Below are 22608 nucleotides of genomic sequence, written 5' to 3' on the forward strand. Positions count from 1 at the left end.
ATTCCAGTTATCTATATCCTTATTAAATGTTTTCTTCTTCTGTCAATTAGTATGGTTGTGGATTTTTTTCATTTCTTCTAGTAATACTGTGATCTTTTGTGTTACTAATTTGGAGATGAGTTTAGAATGACTATAGCTTCCTATTAACTGTTACATAATAACTTTTCTGCTCCTAATAATGGTTTTTGCCATAAAATATATTCTTTTTCTGGGTATTCATAGAGCTGTGCCTAGCATAGCAATTAGGGATGTTTTCGGCTGCAAATAACAGAAAACTTGACCACAGATTCCTAAACACATGGAGGATTATATTTTTTTCAACAAGATGGAGATATTTACCATTAACGACATGCCGTTTTTCATCTTCATTCTTGTTTTTTCCCTGTGAGTCTTTGTGGAGAGGGAGGATAATGAAACAACCTTTATGATCAGAATTGCATAGTACAGTATCCTGTTTTATCATCTATGGAATCTTTATCCCATAATTGTAAATGGTTTGCTGTTTGCACTCATTTTATGAAAGTAAAAGTTATTTAATTATTTAGGAGATAGAATTTTCTATTTCTAGAGTGAGTAAATGTGACAGTTATCCTTACCAAATGAAATTACCAGGAAGAAATGTTTATGCAGGCCTGTCGTTAGAGCCAGAAGCAATTAAATGCTCAACTCTCAGTAAACCAAGTATCATTAGTTTACTAGCAAAGCTTAATACAATAGATTTCAGACAAGATCCAGTGCATTCAGGGTGGTATGGCGATAGACATAATGCAATAGATTTCAAAGCATTAATGCAAAGTAAAATTTTAGTGAGGTTTTAGCAAGCTGACTTTTTGCATCTAGGAATACTTGGTACATGTGTTCTCTCTAGAGATACCATTTTCTACAGTTTTTCAGAAGACTGATTTCAGTATTTCATTATTTTCCATGAAACCTAATATCACTTTGTACCTTTTGATGGTGCATTCACCAGGCTATCGGGTCACCCTTCTTACCTAGAAAATTACCTCAAAATCTCCCTTTCCTTATCCCATTTTCTGAAACTCTGGTGCATCTGATTTCCCATCTAATCATGCCCTGGACCATTAGGACAGGACTATGGAACCATGTATTTTCTCTTGTTTGTATTTGGAGCCTTCGACATCTACAAAGCAAGTCAGTCTATTTCTGTTTTTTACTAAAAATGATTAGCCATATGTTAGATGGTTCTAGGGTTTCCCAGGGAACCCTAGAACAAAATATTAATATGCCTAAAGTTTAGTTTATGCTAAAAGTTAATAAAGCATTTACCTTCAATATTTCATTCAGCCCTCCTTCATCCTAAGAAGAAAAAATATCTCCGTTATAGATAACAAATGGAGCCCTCACATTATAAAAGAACATAATTATTGCATTCAAAATGGGAGACTTTTTCTTCAAAAACATTGGGATGGGTATCATTTTTGAATTATTAGGTTAAAGTGTACAAGCAGAGCCTGGTGCTAGATAAACACTTACTGAATGACTACACTGTTAGTTGGGCATTTTCTTTTAGGCACTAAGGCTGCTAATCCAATTTTGAATGCCCTTTTGTCATCATTAATCCTTGTCCAACACGATATAGTTGAACAGAAACTAGGTGTCTTTTCACTGCATTATATGCAAAGTGTTTCTTCTATGAGATTAAGCATTGTGAACATGTTTTTCCTTTCAGTGAGTGTATAGTATGTTGTTTTACATTGGTCACCTGATAAAGTTTGTGCAGTATTCAGTCATTGAGTATTGAAATATACACTAAGAACTTTTGAGAAAGAAAAGTTTTTAGAAACTCATAAGTATTCAGTTTCACTGTTTTTACAGATTTTTTTTTTTCTGTATGAGTTCTTGACATTTGACTGAAATTCTTCTTGCTGTGGTTGAAGGAAGCCCTTTCTGTTTTCTTTATTCTGATCAAAAACAGCTTGTGTCTTTCTGACTAGTTAACCTTTAGAGCTTTACCTTTGAAAACTCACTTTTGTTTCTTCTCTGGAAAATAATCATCCCAATTTTCTTTTCTGTTTTTCCTCACAGATCTTGATTTTCAACTTAGTTATCTCGATGTGTCTCTGATCTATAAACTCCATTTTAACTCTGACGTCTCTTATTACTGTTGTAACTATGTAATACTTTCTGTTTATAAACTTGAATTAATTTACTTAAATTTAGGTTTTGTTGTGTTTTAAGTGTTCCGTAATAATCTTTCAGCCATGGAAACAAAGAAGTATTTTCCTGCAGAGGAATAAAATTGGCAGTGGATTGGTTTTTGGAAAGAGGCCACAAAGACATTACAGTTTTTGTTCCTGCTTGGAGGAAAGAGCAATCCCGACCTGATGCTCTCATTACAGGTAGGCTTATTCCAGGCGGCTGCTTGTACCTAGCTTTCCTATAATAACCATGCAGGTGTCTGACACTGTCAGGTATCCTAAATCCATTTCACTTGCTCAGCGCAGGCAGTGGGACACAAACGTTGTTTTTTGTTGTTGTTGTTTTCTGAGATAGAGTCTCCCACTGTCACCCAGGCTGGGGTGCAGTGGTACGATCTTGGCTCACTGCAACCTCCGCCTCCCAGGTTCAAGCACTTCTCGTGCCTCAGCCTGCCGAGTAGCTGGGATTACAGGCGTGTGCCACCACACGCAGCTTATTTTTGTATTTTTAGTAGAGACAGGATTTCACCCTGTTGGCCAGGCTGGTCTCGAACTCCTGACCTCAACTGATCTGCCCACCTCGGCCTCCCAAAGTGCTGGGATTACAGGCATGAGCTACCATGCCTGTCCAGTTTTTGAGTTTGAAAACTATCTGGTTTTATTAATTAAACATTAATCATCACTACATAAGCCAGCTTTTTTTTTTTCTTTACTTTTGTGGAAACTCTGACTTCAAATTTTGTGAAATTCTGACCTTTAGAGAGATGCCAGAAGTCACAAGACCTGGATCCAAATTCTGGCTTTGCCCTTCACTAGCTATGAAGACTTTGAGCCACACAATGAACCCCTTTGGGCCCCAATTTCTCATGTGCTATTGTGACATTAGGTGGCAGTCAGATTCTAATAACAACAGTTCAAAAAAGACATGTAAGACCATAAGATGTGCTTCAGTCCAGTAGAAAGAAATGTATTTTGCATTATTTTGTAGTTTTTAAATGTATGAGTTTCAGGCAATGATGTCCTCTGTAACTGTTAATTATTGTTCTTGAACATTTTGCTCAATTACAGTGATTTACAATCAACATCCAACCTTTCTTGTCCTTCTCTCTGCATCCAGTATTGACAAAAACTGAGGCACCCGTGTAAAGACAACTGTAAAACATTTTAAATCAAAAACAAATAAAGAGACCATCTACTATATACCCAAAGGGGATGATTAAGACTTAATTTTTGGCTGGGCGCAGTGGCTCATGCCTGTAATCCCAGAACTTTGGGAGGCCGAGGCGGGAAGATCACTTGAGCTCAGTAATTCAAGACCAGCCTGGGCAACATGGTGAAACTCTGTTTCTACCAAAAATACAAAAAATTAGCCAGGTGTGGTGGCATGTGCTGTGGTCCAGATACCCGAGAGCTGAAGTGGGAGAATCACTTGAGCCCAGGAGGCAGAAGTTGCAGTGAGGTGAGATCACGCCACTGCACTCCAAGCTGGGTGACACAGTGAGACCCCATCTCAAAAAAAAAAAAAGACTTAGTTTTTATGTATAATTATTACATCATTGTTAAATTAACATAAGAATGAATAGGCAAGTCATGGTGGAGTCCAAAGTGGAACCAGACCCTAGCCTATGTATAAATGTAAAGCAGAGAGGTCATCATTCAACCAGTAGTACCAAATATTGGATAACCCTTTGGGAAAAATGTACTTGTTTAGACCCTTATCTTACACCATATAACAATAAATTCCAGGTGGTTGAAGACTAATTATCAAAAATCAAACCATCAGAGACCATAAGAATTTTCTAAATTTAAAACTTTTAGAAGAAATTACTAAGGAAAAGAGAGATAAAATTATATCAAAATTAAAGCTCCTGCATTTTGAGAAACTTTCTTAAAAATGATAATTGGCAAGTTGCCTAAGGAAAAAAAAATCCAACAAAGAATCATGCCCTTAATACAAAGAGCTCATACAGCTTGATTAAAAAAAAAAAAAAAAAACTTCTTTCCAGTATATAAGCATCAAAAGGCTAGGAATAGACAACTCCCAGAATATAAGCACCAAATAAGAAGAAAAAAAGTTCAACCCCATTAGTAATTAAATAAATGCAAATCTAAACAATGTTATTTTTCACCCAGCAAATTAGCAGAGATGGCCAGATGCAGTGGCTCAAGCCTGTAATCCCAGCACTTTGGGAGACCGAGGCAGATGGATCACTTGAGGTCAGGAGTTCAAGACCAGCCTGGCCAACATGGTGAAATCCTGTCTCCACTAAAAACACAAAAAATTAGCTGGGCCTGGTGGCGGGCACCTGTAATCCCAGCTATTAGGGAGGCTGAGACAAGAATTGCTTCAAGAATCGCTTGAACCCAGGAAGTGGGGGTTGCAGTGAGCCGAGATCATGCCACTGCACTCCAGCCTGGGCAACTGAGCAAGACTCCATCTCAAAAAAAAAAAAAAATAGCGGAAAGTAAAAAACTGATAGCATTCAGTGCCCTGAAGCAGTTACTCATAGGCTGCTGTGGAAATTGTTACAACCTGTCAAGAAAGTAGTTGGTCTTAAAATGTTAATATTCTTGGATCCACTAGTTCCCCTTCTAAGAATAAGTTCCAAGAAAATAAGCAGAAGTACAGACAAATATTTGTGACCAAAGACATCCCATGCAGTACCATTATTTAGAATAGAAAAAAAAAAGTGTTCATTCATTAGAAGAATGGTTCAATTAGGAGGTATCAATATGATAGAATATGCATTAGAATATTCAGGCAGAATTTTTAATGATCTGCAGAAATGCTCTTTTACATAAAAGGCAGATTTTATTTTTGTGTGTCTGTCTATACAGACACACAGGCATACATATATATATACACATATATCAACAGTGGAAAGAACAAAATACACAGAAAATGATGAGCAGGAAATATACCAAACTGTTAAGAGTAATTGCCTCTTAGTTGCAACTTTGTGAGGTTTTTATTTCTGCCTGCTTCTTAGTACTCGTCCTTACCTTTCTAATTTTCTACAGGGAACTTAACAATATTTTGATAATGGGGGAAGGGATAGAGTAAATTAAAAAAAGGAAAACAATATTTAGGCATGTAAATGACTTTAAAGCTTCTTGAACATGAAGAGAAGAAGAGAAAATGATAGTACACTGTGTAAGTGTGTCTAAGTTTAGTTTTAAAAATACCAGCATGCCAGTCCCTGGAACACATCAGTATGCAGATTGCTTTATAAAATGCCAAACTAATGGCAGAGGCATTATATTTTTATATATTTTATATATATAAATATATATTTATATTTTTAGGTATTATAGGTATTATAACCCCAGGGTAATAATTCTCTTAACTAAAACCCTGAACCAGATAATACCTGATAAATTGAGTAGCCCAATACTCTTTCACTGCAACAAAAAAGACCCTTGATAAGAAATATTTTTAAGTTGTCAGCATCATAGATTCAGATTAGCACTTTTGCCAATCTTCCATTCATTTATCAAATATTTAACAAGCACTAGCTATGTATCAAGTGCTGTGCTAAGAACTAGAAATTCAGTTAACTTACTAGTTTTACTGAACCCATATTACTTATGTCAGGATTATTTATGTCATCCTAATTAATGTCCTAACCTCATTAACAATTAAAGAAATGCAAATTAAGCAACATGATGACTGTGAGGCCACCGAACTTAATCTACAACTCACTTTGGTGAGGATCAAGACATGGCATAGATGAGTAGACATCCTCACAAATAATAAAGTACCATAGATTACTCATGAACATAAGACGACGAAAGAACTGAAAGACTTCAGAGTATATAGGTTTAAGTAACTCATTCATTCCACAGACAGTCATTGAACATCTACTGATGTGCCTCATGGGCTGGGTGCTGATGGATACAAAGATAAATGACTCATGGCACCTGCCCTCAAAATGCTTATCAGGTTAATAATACACAAAACTATATGACAGCTCCTATAATTGAGACGGGGCACTTGCTTTTGCATTGGTATTCTGTCATTTCTAAAAGAGATCAACAGTAGGCCAGGCACAGTGGCTCATACCTGTAATCCCAGCACTTTGGGAGGCCCAGGCGGGCGGATCACGAGGTCAGGAGTTCGAGACCACCCTGGCCAATATGGTGAAACCCCATCTCTACTAAAATTACAAAAATTAGCCGGGCATGGTGGTGCACGCTTGTAGTCCCAGCTACTCAGGAGGCTGAGGCAGAAGAATTGCTTGAACCTGGGAGGTGGAGGTTGCAGTGAGCTGAGATCGCACCAGTGCACTCCAGCCTGGGTGACGGAGCAAGACTCCGTCTCAAAAAAAAAAAAAAACAGAGAGATCAGCAGTTACATCTATTGAACAAAATTAAGTTGAAGAGCACAGTGTTTACTGAGAGCTTGCCAGGCACTGTGCTAGCTGCTTTGCCGCAAGATAACTCATGTACTTCTCATAGTCTATCAACTGCATTTGACAACATGAAGAAACAGACTCAACAAGATTGTGATTGTCTGATGTGGAAAGTGGCAGAACCTGAGCCACATTTCTTCCACTCATAGAAAGGTCTGGTCTTTTTTTTTTTTTTTTTTTTTTAAGACAGAGTCTCGCTCTGTTGCCCAGGCTGGAGAGCAGTGGCGTGATCTCGGCTCACTGCAGCCTTCACTTCCCAGGGTTCAAGCAATTCTCCTGCCTCAGCTTCCCAGGTAGCTGGGATTACAGGTGTGCACCATCACACTCATCTAATTATTGTATTTTTTGTAAAGACAGGATTTTGCTATGTTGGCCAGGGTAGACTTGAACTCCTGAGCTCAAGCAATCTGCCTGCCTCAGCCTCCCAAATGTCTGGTCTTAATGAATTCATCTGTCAGGAGCATCATCAATCTGTATGCCAGGATTAGAGCTGACCCGTGTCACTCTTCCATCTGTACCCAGCTCACACTTCTGCTGTGGCAGTTACAACCCTTGCTTACCTGGCTTATGTGTTTGTCCAGTGCAGTCAGACTGAGGCTCCTTTGGAGAGGTGATTTTTAATCTTGATGGCTGTTACACCTGGCACAATACCAGGAAGGTATGTAATAATCATCCGTTGCAGAGATGGATTGAAAAAAACTTAGTAAGTCCAGTTAATAAGCATTGAGAAGAAGTGAGCTTTTTTTTAAAAAAAATCATGACATCTGTAGGTTTGTGCCCCGCACTCTGTGCCAGAACTTACAATGGTGGGAAAATGGGGGACAGAGGAGCAAAAGTAGAAGGAAAGGATGGTTGAAAGAGAATTTTTATCATTGATTAACATATGAACTCTAGTACCCTTTTTTAAATCACAAAACAAGTCAATAGAGTTACAAAGTGCTATAAGAGTATGCCAACCAGCCGGGCACGGTGGCTCACTCCTGTAATCCCAGCACTTTGGGAGGCTGAGGCGGGTGGATCACCTGAGGTCAGGAGTTCAAGAACAGCCTGGCCAACATGGTGAAACCCTGTCTCTAATAAAAATACAAAAATTAGCCAGGCGTGGTGACAGGCGCCTGTAATCCCAGCTACTCAGAAGGCTGAGGCACAAGAATCACTTGAACCGGGGAGGCGGAGGTTGCAGTGAGCCAAGATCACACCACTGCACTCCAGCCTGGGCGATAGACCAAGACTCAGTCACAGAAAAAAAAAAAATCCAACCACAGACAAAATGAGCATATCTCTACCTGGCCTTTTCTAATCAGCAGATGTTTTCTCCACATGATGACTTCTTATCTTTTACTCAGTCTGACCCCCACAAGAATGCTGGCATTTGTCACCATGTCTCACAGAAAGGTCATGGGGCATATTGTAGCCATGTTTATAACAACACTTGTGACCTCACTGCCTTCTCTCTCTTTGAACTTTCTGCATTTAAAGATTTTTCTCTTTGCTACCTGGACAACTTCTACTTCCTTTCATACTCTCCCACTAGTTAGAAGAAAATAATTACGAAGTATGCAAACAAACTTAAAAGGAAAAAAATGTATTGCTCACACCTGAACCCCACACAGCATACAGCTGCTTTATTAGAATGGCATTCAAGTAGGAACGTGGAAGAAGCTGTGTCCATAGTGGTCGTGTGATGACTCCAGCTCTTAAGCAAAAGCTTCACATAATGACAGTCAGAATTTGCCCAGTCATGGTTCAATTTTATACTGTTCGTATTTTTTTAACTAGTTTTAAAGTCTTTATTATTAAAATTCCTGAAGGAAAAATACTATTGAGAGTTGGAAATGATGCTGTATCTACAAATTAAATCATAATCCCTAATTAAAGGATTTCATATATACAGCTTATGTTTTAGAGTTTCACATTGTATGAAAGTTGCCATGTGTGTTATCTATGTATTTACTTTCTGCCATCCTACCGTCATTATTCTTGCAGATCAGGAAATTTTACGTAAATTAGAGAAGGAGAAAATCCTGGTGTTCACGCCATCCCGGCGAGTCCAGGGGAGGAGAGTGGTGTGCTATGACGACAGGTTCATCGTGAAGCTGGCTTTTGAGTCGGACGGTATCATTGTGTCCAATGATAACTACAGGGACTTGGCTAATGAGAAGCCAGAATGGAAGAAGTTCATAGATGAACGATTATTAATGTATTCATTTGTCAATGACAAGTAAGTAAAACCATTTACTTGCCAATGATACTGCTTCTGTAAAAATATAACTATCCCTGGCAGCTGCTACAGAATTCTCTTTTTGCCACTGTCCAGACTTCACACAGGTTTCTAACAACTGATCTCCCCACTGATCCTCAGTGGGAGTCAGGAAAACTGCAGAATCATTGCCAGAGGAGGCCCGGTGTGAGTGGCAGGCCCCACCTTTCCCTGTAAGTCACTCATAGAACACCTAAGGTAGAGGAAGTCTTCTAAGACTATGTCTGGAGAACCTGAGGAAACAGACACTGGGGAAATTCCCATCTTCACCCTCAAAGGACTGCCTTTTAAAATCAATTTAGAGCACTGATAGCTTACTAAATAAGCCATGCTTGGCTTAACAACAGGGATACGTTCTGAGAAATTCATCTTCAGGCGATTTCATTGTGGGTATGAACATCATAGAGTGTACTTACACAAACCAGCTGGAACAGCCTACTACACGCCTAGGCGATGTGGTACATATAGCCTGTTGCTTCCAGGCTACCAACTTGTATAGCATGCTACTGTACTGAATACTGTAGGCAACTGTAATACGATGGTATGATATGTTTGTATATCTAAACATACCTAAACACTGAAGAGGTATATATACCATAAAATATGGTATAAAAGATTTCTAAATGGTATGTCTCTGTAGGGCACTTACCATGAATGGGGCTTGCAGGACGGGAAGTTGTCCTGAGTGAGTCAGTGAATGAATGGTGAGTGAATGTGAACGGCTAGGACATTACTATAAACCACTATAGACTTTATAAACACTGTATACTTAGGCTATGCCAAATTTATCAAAAAATACTTTTCTTTTTTCAATAATATATTAACCTTGGCTTATAACTTTTTTACTATTAATATATAAACTTCTTAGTTTTTAAAACTTTTTTCTCTTTTGTAATACCACTTAGCTTAAAACATTGTACAACTGTACAAAAACATTTTCCTTCTTTATATCCTTATTCTATAAGCTGTTTTCTATTTTTATTTTTTTTTCTTTTTAAAGTGTTTGTTAAAAACTAAGACACAAACACATTATCCTAGGCCTGCACAGGGTCAGGATCATCAAAATCACTGTCCTCCACCCCCACATATTGTTCCCCTGGAAAGTCTCCAGGGGCAGTACTATGCGTGGAGCTGTCATCTCCTATGGTAACGATGCCTTTTGAAATACTTCCTGAATGAACTGCATGAAGCTGTTTTACAGTTAACATTATTTTAGAAGTAGAAGGAATACACTCTAAAATAAAAACAAAAAGTATAATATAGTAACTATATAAACCAGTAACATAGTTGGGGATATTTTGTTTTCTTTTGTTTTTTTGTTTTTTGAGACGGAGTCTTGCCCTGTCGCCCAAGCTGGAGTGCAGTGGTGCCACCTCAGCTCACTGCAACCTCCGTCTCCCAGGTTCAAGCAATTCTCATTCCTCAGCCTCCTGAGTAGCTGGAATTACAGGCACGCCCCATCACACCTGGCTAATTTTTGTGTTTTTTTTTTTTAGTAGAGACGAGGTTTCACCATGTTGGCCAGGCTGGTCTCGAACTCCTGACCTCAAGTGGTCTGTCTGCCTTGGCCTCCCAAAATGCTGGGATTACAGGCATGAGCCATCACGCACAGCCAGTGACATCATGGTTTATCGAGTATTATGCGCAGTCCATAATAGTATGTGCTACACTTTTATACGACTGGGGGCATGGTAGCTTTGTTTGTACCAGCATCAGCATGATCACAAACACATGTGTAATGCATTGTGCTATTACGTTACCAGCAACTTTTCAGCTCTACCGTCATATATGCAGTCCATTGTTGACCAAGATGTTATGCAGTGCGTGACTGTACCTGAATTTTTAAAGTTCTTATAGTAATGTAAGACTCTGGTCATGATCAGAGTCTAAAAGTTGATGAATGAACGAATGACATCAAGCATGTCTCATGAGAAGTAAATATATTTCTAAATATGTAGAAAAAGTTCACCTCTTGTGCTAATTAAAAATGCAAATGAATCTAAAAAGAATATATTTTCTCATTTAATTCACAAAAATAATTTTGTGTGTGCCTTATGCTATTAAAGAGGCACTGATAGGTTATTTGGCAGAGGTTCACAGAAGCCTCAAGAATATTGTGTTCCATCAACCCAAAAATCTCATTTCTTGGAATATATACTGAGGAATAAATAAAGACCAGATGTGTTCATTTCTGTATTATTTATAATTGCAAGAATTCAAGGGCAACTAAATGTACAATAGAGAAATCAATCAAATTATGATACATCTCCTACTGGAATATTATTCAGCTCTTCAGAGTTCTTATGAAAAAAAGAATTATGCCAGGTGTGGTGGCTCATGCCTGTAATCCTAGCACTTTGGGAGGCCAAGGCAGGTGCATCACCTGAGGCCAGGAGTTTGAGACCAGCCTGGCCAACATGGCGAAACCCCGTCTCTACTAAAAATCCAAAAAAAATTAGCTGGGCATAGTGGTGGGCGCCTGTAATTCCAGCTACTTGGGAGGCTGAGGCAGGAGAATTGTTTGAACCCCAGGGGGGCGGAGGTTGCAGTGAGCTGAGATGGTACCACTTCACTCCAGCCTGGGTGAAACAGCAAAACTCTGTGTCAAAAAGAAAAAAAGGATTATTATGAAGGCTATTAAGAAACATGGGAAAGTTTTTTTATGTTAAAAAGGCAAAGTGTAAAATTGTATTTGTGTTTGATTAAAGCCATGTAAAATGATGTGTGCACAATGAAAATGACTTAAATCTAACACAGACCTGGAAAGTAATTGTATTAAGATTGTGGGATTGAGTGACTTTATCTTCTGTTTTGTAACATGTAGTGTTACCATATTGTTTTGTAATAATAAACACTGTGGTTGCTAAGTGTTACTACTCAGCCATGTTGACACTCCTGTAAGGGTTCATACATTATTCCCATTATTCACATTTTATAGGTAAATACTTGGGTTTAAGTTCAAATGGTAATATAATGAATAGCAGAATTCTTCAAGCATAACTTCTTTTCATTATTCATGCCATAAATTCTTCTCTTCTTTATTAGTCCATCCAAAATAGTAGGTTTATTTCCTTAGCATTTTTTTCTATCTCAACTGAGAAGCGCATTCAAATAGGGGAAGAGAATAGATCGGAGTTAGATCTAATTGAATCTTGACTATGCCATGCAACATTGGATAAAAATCACTTCATTTATCTAAACCTAAATTAGAAAAGTTTACATATCTGTAAAATGGAGCTAATACTTCGTGGGATCATGGTTAGGATGCCATGGTGTAGTGTGTAAAGTGCCTAGCACTAACCGGTGTCTGGTAAGTTCGTACCTTCCCATTGTGTTCCAGCCCCCTCCCTTCTTCTCAGCTGCTCCACCTCGCCCCACCTGCAGCAGTCCATTTCATGAGGTGTATGTTGATAAAGCTCTCCTAAAGTGTCACTGAAATCGTTTTCTAAAACCCTTACAAAATCCCAAGACTGAGAGGAAGGAAGAATTAATAGGACATGCTCAACTCAAAACTTACTTGAATTAAAACAAATACAATTTCAGCTCAAAACAGTTCAATTTTCATTAAGAAATGAGAACTTCATTTACTGATTTCTTTTTTACTCTGTAAACGTGGAATCAAAACACTTGGATTAAAATTGCAAAAAAAATTCCTTATAGAGGGAACAAATCTTTGTACTCTTTTTAGAATTAAATTATCAGCCTCCTACTTAGGTATCATTTTTTTATTATCTCCATGACAGGTTCATGCCCCCTGATGACCCTCTTGGCAGACATGGCCCCAGTCTGGATAATTTTCTGAGGAAGAAACCTATTGTTCCTGAACACAAAAAGCAGCCTTGTCCATATGGTAACTTGCTTTGTGAATATTGGGTATATGCCTTTAGAACACAATATATTATTAAACTTTTGTTAACAAAAATGAACACTTAAAATTTTGGATGGCATAATATGCAGTTCTTTGGATTCCAGATAAATTTCAGAAAACGTCTTAGCCATGAAAAAGAATTATTTTTACCTGTTTGGATTCAAGACAAATGCATTTCCTTATATTAAAACATGGTTCAAAAAACACTGTTAATTCTACGTGAAGTTAGTTTTGAAGTGAATAAAAATTTGGAGTTTTTTCATCTAGATACAAATCAGATGAGCATGGTTCTATCGCCCTACAGTAGTATACTGTGCTCTTCAAAACAGAATTTCCTACCTAATTATAAAGTCCTACTGGAAGACAAGAGGCAGGTAGGAGTTGAGGACACGGAGGTATTAGCCAAAAGTTCTGGAAGTGGCTGGGTGCAGTGGCTCAAATCTGTAATCCCAGCAGTTTGGGAGGCCAAGGTGGGCAGATCACATGAGGCCAGGAGTTGAGACCAGCCTGGCTAACATGGAGAAACCCTGTCTCTACTTAAAATACAAAAAAATTCACCAGGCTTGGTAGCGCACGCCTGTGATCCCAGCTACTCAGATGGCCGAGGCATAAGAATTGCTTGAACCCGAGAGGCAGAGGTTGCAGTGAGCTGAGATCACACCACTGCCCTCCACCTGGGTGACAGAGCAAGACCCTGTCTCAAAAAAAAAAAAAAAGTTCTGGAGGTGATTATTACTCATTCGGCCAACTTCCTCCTGTTCTTGATAGTAAAGAAATGAGAAGACTGAGAAGTGACGTTTCTCAAGAGTAAAGAACAGAGTGACACTTAGCACAGCTCCCATTTCTATCGTTGTCTCTTCTACAAGTTAAAATCATAGGGCCAAACTGAGTTTTCAGGATCTGATGGTATGCTCCTTTGCCTAATTAATTTTACTCTTCTTAGGAAAGAAGTGTACCTATGGACACAAGTGCAAATATTACCATCCCGAAAGGGGCAGTCAGCCACAGCGGTCAGTGGCTGATGAACTCCGTGCCATGTCTAGAAATACGGCAGCCAAAACTGCAAACGAAGGAGGACTGGTGAAAAGCAACAGTGTTCCTTGTAGCACCAAGGCTGATAGCACTTCTGATGTCAAACGAGGTGCTCCAAAGAGGCAATCAGATCCAAGCATAAGGACACAAGTCTACCAAGACCTAGAAGAAAAGCTTCCCACCAAAAACAAATTGGAAACCAGGTCTGTACCTTCCTTAGTTAGCATCCCAGCTACTTCTACTGCAAAACCCCAAAGCACTACATCTTTAAGCAATGGCCTTCCATCTGGAGTTCATTTCCCACCTCAGGATCAAAGACCACAGGGACAATATCCTTCAATGATGATGGCAACCAAAAATCATGGAACGCCAATGCCTTATGAACAGTATCCAAAATGTGACTCACCTGTCGACATCGGATATTATTCCATGTTGAATGCATACTCAAATCTGAGTCTCTCAGGCCCACGAAGCCCTGAAAGGCGTTTCTCCTTAGACACAGATTATAGAATAAGTTCCGTAGCTTCTGACTGCAGCAGTGAAGGGAGCATGAGCTGTGGGAGCAGTGACTCCTACGTGGGTTACAATGACCGGTCCTATGTCAGCTCCCCCGACCCACAGCTAGAGGAGAATTTGAAGTGTCAACACATGCACCCTCACAGCCGCCTTAATCCTCAACCGTTCCTGCAGAATTTCCACGACCCCTTAACCAGAGGGCAAAGTTACAGTCACGAAGAACCAAAGTTCCATCACAAGCCTCCTCTTCCGCACCTGGCTCTGCACCTGCCGCACTCCGCTGTGGGCGCCCGGTCCAGCTGTCCTGGCGACTACCCCTCTCCTCCAAGTTCAGCACACTCTAAGGCACCACACCTAGGGAGGTCCTTGGTGGCCACGAGAATAGACAGCATCTCTGACTCTCGACTTTATGACAGTTCTCCTTCACGACAAAGAAAGCCTTATTCCCGCCAGGAAGGCCTGGGAAGCTGGGAGAGGCCAGGCTATGGGATCGACGCCTATGGGTACCGGCAGACTTATTCCTTGCCCGATAACTCCACACAGCCGTGTTATGAGCAGTTCACCTTCCAGAGCCTCCCTGAGCAACAGGAGCCAGCCTGGCGGATCCCATACTGTGGAATGCCGCAAGATCCCCCGAGGTATCAAGACAACCGAGAAAAGATTTATATCAATTTGTGCAACATCTTCCCCCCTGACCTTGTGAGAATTGTCATGAAAAGGAATCCTCACATGACAGACGCCCAGCAGCTCGCCGCAGCCATTTTAGTGGAGAAATCCCAGCTGGGTTATTGAAAGATGATGCATCTTTGTGGTGTTTAGTAGTTTTTTGTTCAGCTCAAATGCTGAGGGAGGTTTGCTACAATAGCACATGTGATCTCCTTCTCAGCAAGGAGGTTATATAGTATCCATTTATGTGAAATACTGTATCATGGAATCTGTATGTATAGCCCCACATGGTGGAAGTATCACGGGATTGCTTTACATTTAAACTTTTTTTTTTTAACATTTCCTTTTTAAAGCTATATCCTTGGCTGGAAATTTTTCCAGTTTGATTTAATAGATGTATCTGTGATCTTTGATATTAATCTTTGGTGCATCAGGGGTTTATATGCAGCACTTTTTATCCTTGTTTTGTGTTTTATTAACTTGGTGTTTGTCTATCAATTGCAAGCAATTACAATACCTTCAGAATGTGGGACATTTGACTAGACCTAGCAAACTGTTTTTTCGAGCCAAGCTTAGTTAGACTCTTTTACAGCTTTTTAAGTTATTTTTATTTGGGGAAAGTGGGCTTCTTTGTGCTATAATCATTATTTATAGAAACAAAGTTATACTACAGCACTGACTTTATATTTTAAACAGAATGTAAGTTACCAGTTTTATGTTGAAATGTGTTACAGTATATATATATTAGAATGATTTACAATATGGCACTTTTCGATGTGTTATTTTTGTTTGGATTTTTTTTTCTGTTAAGAAATTAGTTAATTTAATATGGTCAATTTAAAAGAAAGCAGATGCAATCAATGGAAAAATGTTTCCATTTTTTAAAAATGAATAAGGCAAAAGCTGTAACTGTTACAGGTTAGAGCTTTGTTATCCAGCTATGATGTGCTTCTTGACAGTAGAAGTGGAATTGAATTCCTAGATTTCCATTAACCTGTATTTTTAATATGTCTGTCTTTTTGTTTTGGGGCACAACAATACTGGATAAAATAACCCTTTCACAGCACTTGCCTGTTTTTAATGAATCTAATTATTCACAATGCAACTTTTATATTTAACATACTCTTTAGCTTTCCTGCTATTTATCAAGGCTGGCCTGAGGTGGGTTTATGTGTTGAGGTTATGCAACATTTCTTGATACTGCACTATAGAGAAATGGTGATGGAGGAGTTGTAAATGGTAACTTAAAATTTTTGTAAGATATTGTATATTTTCCATTTTCCTGAAGGTAGTTTTCTTGGGGGGGCCTGTTATATTATTAAGGCCAGACTCTTGCCACAAATAGTGTAGTTTTAGATACAGACTAAGGTCTGTTCTAGTATTAGTAAGGGATATTTCTGGTTTCAAAGTCATGGGTTTTGCTAGTGGTGAATACATTTCTGCGGAGTAGAAGATAGATTTTGCAGTCAGTGGCAGACAGTTGTGTGATTGACATCACTTGACTGTTGCGTCCAGGTTTTGAATTGTACTTCACGTAACAGATGCATTCAGATCTTTTTCTGTAGTCTGCTTAGATGCCCTGGCTATTCTGATTATCCTACATGCTACAGTTTGAAGTGAAGCCCTGAAAAACCAGAAAGTACCTTTTACTGTTGATACAAATTGTATCTTTTTAACTATAAGAACTATTTTGATTTGTAGATCTAGTTAAAACACAAGTATGTAACTATGATTAGACTTTTGGGCAACATTTTATCCCTTATTTAAATACAAATTTTTAAAGTAAAATTGAGGTCTAGAATAGATTAGAAAATAAAAATAACAATTTAGATAAATAGAAATGTCTGTCTTAGTTTTATATAATATATTAAAACACAGTAAATAAATTTATTGGCATTTTCTTTCTCCTAAAACTTACCTAGTGTGAACTTAAAATAAAGGTAAAATGCTGCCTGAAAATAATGTCCAAGCACCTTTGACTAGGATAACATTTTCACTACTTGTGTGACACTGTGTGTTGCACGAAGTAGGATTTGGGTATACAGTAAATGCTTCTAAAAGGCATTGTGCATATTGACATAACCAATAATCTGAACCGTGTTCAGCAAACTTAATTCAGGAAAGTGGTATTCTACACAATTATTGCTGTTGTGTTTGAAATGAGTGTGGCACTCATCTGTATCCAGAAATAATATGGGTGAGGCCACACAACCCATTCTGAGTGGTGTCTGTCTGAAAGCAACCCTACTCGCATGTGAAATTGTTCTCCTTGATTTGGTCACTATAAAGCAAGTTTAAATGTAGAGGCTAACTCAGTGCCAAAAACAGGGTTACAAATGTGTAGTATCTTTTATTTTAGTCATATTCTAAGACTTCTTTTTAGTATGAAATCACTTTTAAATTATACATGTAGGTTTTGCTTCCATTTTCTTCATTTTACCATTTTAATTATTTGAACATTCGCCAAATTTTACATTTATTTAAATGAGATCTTAGGTGAGATGTGTGTGACACTTTGAATTTGACCTTCTTGTGTTATTAGCTGACTATTTGTCATTGCCTCATGGATTTTAAATTATGGGAAAATAGTGTAGCCAGCTGCCACCTCTACTGAAGTGAGTAGCTCTGAACTACCCACACTAAATCCTTCAGTGTAATTAATTATGAGTTTAAAAATAGCAGTTTTCTTATGTGAAGAGGACAGTTTGTCCCCTTTTTTTGAAGCACCGATGTTGCGTTCAGAGCTGTAGAATGAGATAATTGGCAGACTTTAGGTACAGCAAATTCTTACTTATCTAAAGCAATAAGTCAAAGGAGTCCATCATTAAATTAAATCCATAGCTGATCACAAGCCTTCATTTTAGCCAAAACTTTCTCTCTAACCAAATCTTTTACCAGACTTGCTAATAAATAACCAGAGAGATGTGTTAATAAGTGAAGTTGCCAGAAATGGTCAACTGATCGGAAAAAAAAGGATTCAGACTGGAGTATTTTGCCCCTGAATAATTGACAGTTGACTGTGCTTTACACAGTAACTAGCCAGTCTGTTGTCTCTGTGTCTTAGTCCAGAGGGAATAGTACCCAATTGGCCAAATACTGGCCCTTAGTATCTCCTCCTTTCTTGCATGGGATACAGACGTTTTCAGTCTTGTTTTTATGATCTCTCTCTATATCCTGATAAGAGTTTGTCATTGACTTACACATTTGGAAGAAATGCACACCAGTGTAATATATTTGATACTGGTGGAAACTTGAACTTTGTGTTTTTATGAAAATTCATTTATGAGAATATGTAATATAACTGAAGAGTATTTTATGTATATCTATATACACAAATATGTATTTGTTATGAGGTATTAAAAACAGGGGTTGGGGGGAGTGCTTCTGATGGCTAACTTTTCTCTAATTAAACTATGTTTCTTTGAGTTGTGAACGACCGAGTCTGGGGTCTGGACGGCCAATGATAAGATTTAGAACCACTTGGATGGAAAGCAGTTCTTCACTGGTTTTATTCTTGGTATTTTCAAAGAATTATTTTGATATTTTTAATAGAATGTGTAATTTTAAAATACACAAAAAACTTAAAGTAGTATTGATTATACAAATAATTATTTAACATGTCTTATGGATGTATCTATATGTATATAGACAGTAATATATTTATAAAACAAATATACTTTGCTTATGTTATAGCTCTTAGTTTGTGACAGGTGGGAGGATGGCTCTGGGTGTGTGTGTGTGTGTGTGTGTGTGTGTGTGTGTGTGTGTGTTTTGAAAACTCTCAAGCTGTTTTCCCTCTGATTTACAATGGTATTTACTTTAAAGTATGTTTGGTTTTCATTATTCTTTTTGCTCTCCAACTTCCTTATTCAAGATAAAATAAGACATACAGTTTTCTGGCCATTCTGTTGGTGTGTGGTGCACCCATTTTATTGTCATCTAACTCCTGGAGAATTCCCACGTGACCTGAAATCAAACAGATTCTGGCTGGACATATGCTTATGTTCCAAATATATTAAAGATGTTAATTCAGCTAACAGTTAAGTTTCCAAGGTATACACCAACAAATAAAATGAGGTATTAAAAAGAGATGGATTACACACATGCATTAGAATAAGAGAAAACAGTAGTGTTAATAAAAGTAAAGAAACATACACTATCTTAGCCCCCTAGGGCAGGGGTTGACTTTTTCTGTAAAGGATCAGATAGTAAATAATACAGGAATCATATGGACTTCAAATGCCATTGTAAAAACTACTCAGCTCTGCCTTTAGAGCATAAGAACAGCCACAGATAACATGTAAATTAGTGTGGCTGTGTTCCAATAAAACTTTATTTACAGAAACGGGAAGCCGGTCAGATTGGGCCTGTGGGCCATAATTTGCTGATCTCAAGCAGTAAATCCTGGTATATGTTAATAGAAGAAATCATAATTGCATTTCAGTTGACATTAAAAGAAAATCTGGTAGTTTTTGATGTCCTTCAAAAGAGGATTGTTAGACATTGATGTTAAAGCATCTTAATTCATTTGAGTTTTCTTACCTGTTTACACCCATTATTTATTAGAGATATTTCTTGTGTTTAACCACAAAAAAAAGCACTCTGTTAAAATGTTTTAATATGTATTGAATTTCTTTCATAAACTTTTCATTTCTGTTGATAAATGGGAATCCCTTACCAACCTTTTGTTTTTTAAAAGTCTCATAGACCAAAAAAAATCTGTTGCAGCATTTAATTAGCCACAGATACATTTTGGCTGCATTTACCAGTTACATTTTTCCATTGGTTTTGGCTTCTAATAAATAACATATCTGCCATTCTTTAAAAATGATTTTAAAGAAGATAAATATATTGTAATTTCACATGCTATAGCTTTATTCTGTAAGATTAAAAATTGTGACTAGTATAATTGTAGCTATAATGTGAGTGGCATGTTACAATGTAACTCTTTATGAGAAATAAAATGTATCTCTGCTTTGTCTGTCCAGATCTTTAGGATTTTTAGATGCCTTGGGACTGTCCTTGGTGAATGATATTCTTCATATGATCATATGTAATTTTGAATTCGTTGGAAGTACACGCTGCTGAGCATGTTTATTCACAGTGCTTTATACCGGGTGTTGCATCAGTAATCATTTTCATAAGAACATTTAAACAGCATGAACATCATCATCCACTTAAATAGTTAAACTTTCTTTTAAAATTGGAATGCAACTGTAGGTTTTAACAATGTTTATTGTTTTTTAAGTGGTTACTTTGTTTTTCCTTAATACTTTCTGTTAACTTAATTATTACTCCTGTTGCAGTGTTACTGTTATGTATTAGAAGTGGCTTTTCCCCCTAAGATCCTTAGTCTTTTAAAGACAATTTAAGGTATTGGCCATTTGGCAGTAGAAAATGTGCATGTTTTAACTTGGTTTTATAAAATCTGTAATGTTTCACTTCTTGAACCATGTACCAAATTTGCCAATTTTCTGTCCAAGTGTTTCAGATGAATAACAAAACGCTGTTCATTGAAGCTTTCGCCACCTTTCTTAAAGCAGCGTATGTTCCAAGGGAAAAAGGCATTGAAAAGCAATCGTTTGTTTTTATGAAGAATAGGTGTTCAGATTCCTTCAGTTTTTTTGAAATTAGAAATTTCTTACCTTATGTGAAATATTCACAAACGTGCACACTTCTGCAGAGACAAAGCATTTCACTGCACGTGTACCAGGTTATTGATTTTATCTTTTCCTTTCAGGGTTTTGTCCTCCCAAACCAGAGTCATATGCTGCTAGTAGAATTTTTTATTTGATCCTGCGAACTTTTCTTATAGGAAAAGTAAGGCAAAGGATGTGTAGTGCAACCATCTGATAAACTAGTGTGATTGTATTTATCCTCTGTTCTGTGTATTTCTGTAATGGAATCTTTACAATTCCCAAAACGGTATTTTAGACCTACTGGAAATCTGTATCGAAACAGCTATGTGATTCTGCCACTGAGAAAAAAAAAATTTTTAATTCGTTTTTCTTATGCTGGTTTGTTTTTCTTTAATGAAGAAATTGATCTCATATGGCATCATAGATGCTAAATAAATAAAAGCATCATACTTCTCTAGTTTGCCTGCATTCAGTGGCTAACATTATGAGCATTGTGTAAGATAAACACATGGTCAGTATCAATGTAAATGTTAGAGCCATGATTAATTCCTATGAAAATTGAAATTAAATGTCAAAGACAACTAGACATAACTTAAGGCATGATGAGAGTGTTTTTTTTTCCTGAACCCGTCATTATAGTGTTGGTTCCCAGTGCTTTTGAAGTATCATCAGGTGTCTGGCTAAGAGTATTGTTGGTAGGGACCTCGTCCAGGGAGTTTGTAAGATAATGCTAGATGGCACGGACATCCTCTTTTCTGATTATGAGGGCTGCCAGTTGATTTAAATTGTATTGAAAAGGCCGGGCGCAGTGGCTCACACCTGTAATCCCAACACTTTGGGAGGCCAAGGCGGGCAGATCACTTGAGGTCAAAAGTTCGAGACCAGCCTGGCCAACATGGTGAAACCCCATCTCTACTAAAAATACAAAAAAAAAAAAAAAAAATTAGCTGGGCTTCATGGCGCACGCCTGTAATCCCAGCTACTCGGGAGGCTGAGGCAGGAGAAGGTTGCAGTGAGCCAAGATTGCGCCACTGCACTCCAGCCTGGGTGACAGAGTGAGACTCCGTCTCAGAAAAAAAATGTATCAAAAAGACTCATTGGTGCAGTGGTGTTTACTAGGATGCACAAAACTTTGAGCCCTGATGTCCATGACACCCTGACAGGTAGTGGGGCACAGAGAATGAGGGTCCACACATCCCTCTTCAAGTTAACTTCTTTAGCTGGCCTGGAATGTACGGGGCCACATAGCCAACAGGAATAAGGATTTTGTTTGTAAAAATAAATTGAATAGATTTGAATGCACAGAAATTGAAATTTTTATCTCTTTAATAGTTGAGGCTGGAAAACTTAGATCATTGTGGGGAAATGCTCTGCTTCTGTGAAATTCCTGCACAGATTGGGAGAGATTGCAGACAGCTGTCAGGTACTCCAGGGCTGTGTTTGACTCTCAGTCCTGCACGTATTACTATGGTAACTATATATATGAGACACACAATATGTAAAATTTGGGCAAATTATTCTCTTTCAGAGTCTTTTTCATACACCGTTGTGAAATGATCAGAATGCCTATCTCACAGGCTTATTGTCACTAGCTACATGGTGGTGATGACCGTGGGCGTAAGGATGACTCAAGGACAGATGCAAACAAATACAATGCGGCATCCACCCTGTTCTTGCTGAAGTAAAACAGCAATCTTCGCTGTATCCCGACTATTCTAGACAGCAGTGTCTTCCTGACCCAATTGTCCTAATAATTTTCTATTAACGAAATACTCTGTTTCCGATGCAGTCACCGTATTGTCATGATCTTCATGATTTAGCATGTGGACGTTCTGTGTCATTGCATGAGAAGCCACTATTTCAGAGAGCGGGTTTCTCCTCTGACATTGCTTTTTGGACCTTTGCTTTTCTTCTTTTTCCCTAAAATTTCCATTTGCATTCTTAAGTATTCTTTTTTTCCCCCACTTGATTACTTTAAGCTGTGTAACTGCAAGCTTATGGATTTAGACCATTTATTTTGGCTCTGCCAGCAGATTTGATTATTGATGTTTGATTG

The 22608-nt window shown here is 38.0% G+C and overlaps 1 protein-coding gene across 2 annotated transcripts in view; it reads left to right on the top strand.

Moving 5' to 3' along the window:
• ZC3H12C (zinc finger CCCH-type containing 12C) overlaps nucleotides 1-21143 on the top strand; it is a 78450-nt gene extending 57307 nt beyond the window's left edge. For both annotated transcript variants that reach the window (NM_033390.2, NM_001411037.1), the window contains exons 3-6: nucleotides 2221-2360; nucleotides 8558-8792; nucleotides 12575-12681; nucleotides 13643-21143. In NM_033390.2, coding sequence (NP_203748.1) covers nucleotides 2221-2360; nucleotides 8558-8792; nucleotides 12575-12681; nucleotides 13643-15039 — 1879 coding nt within the window. In that variant the 3' untranslated portion in view covers nucleotides 15040-21143. The remainder of the gene's footprint in view (nucleotides 1-2220; nucleotides 2361-8557; nucleotides 8793-12574; nucleotides 12682-13642) is intronic.

The sequence above is a fragment of the Homo sapiens genome, chromosome 11 (assembly GCF_000001405.40).
Source record: "Homo sapiens chromosome 11, GRCh38.p14 Primary Assembly".
NCBI classification, from domain to species: Eukaryota; Metazoa; Chordata; class Mammalia; order Primates; family Hominidae; genus Homo; species Homo sapiens.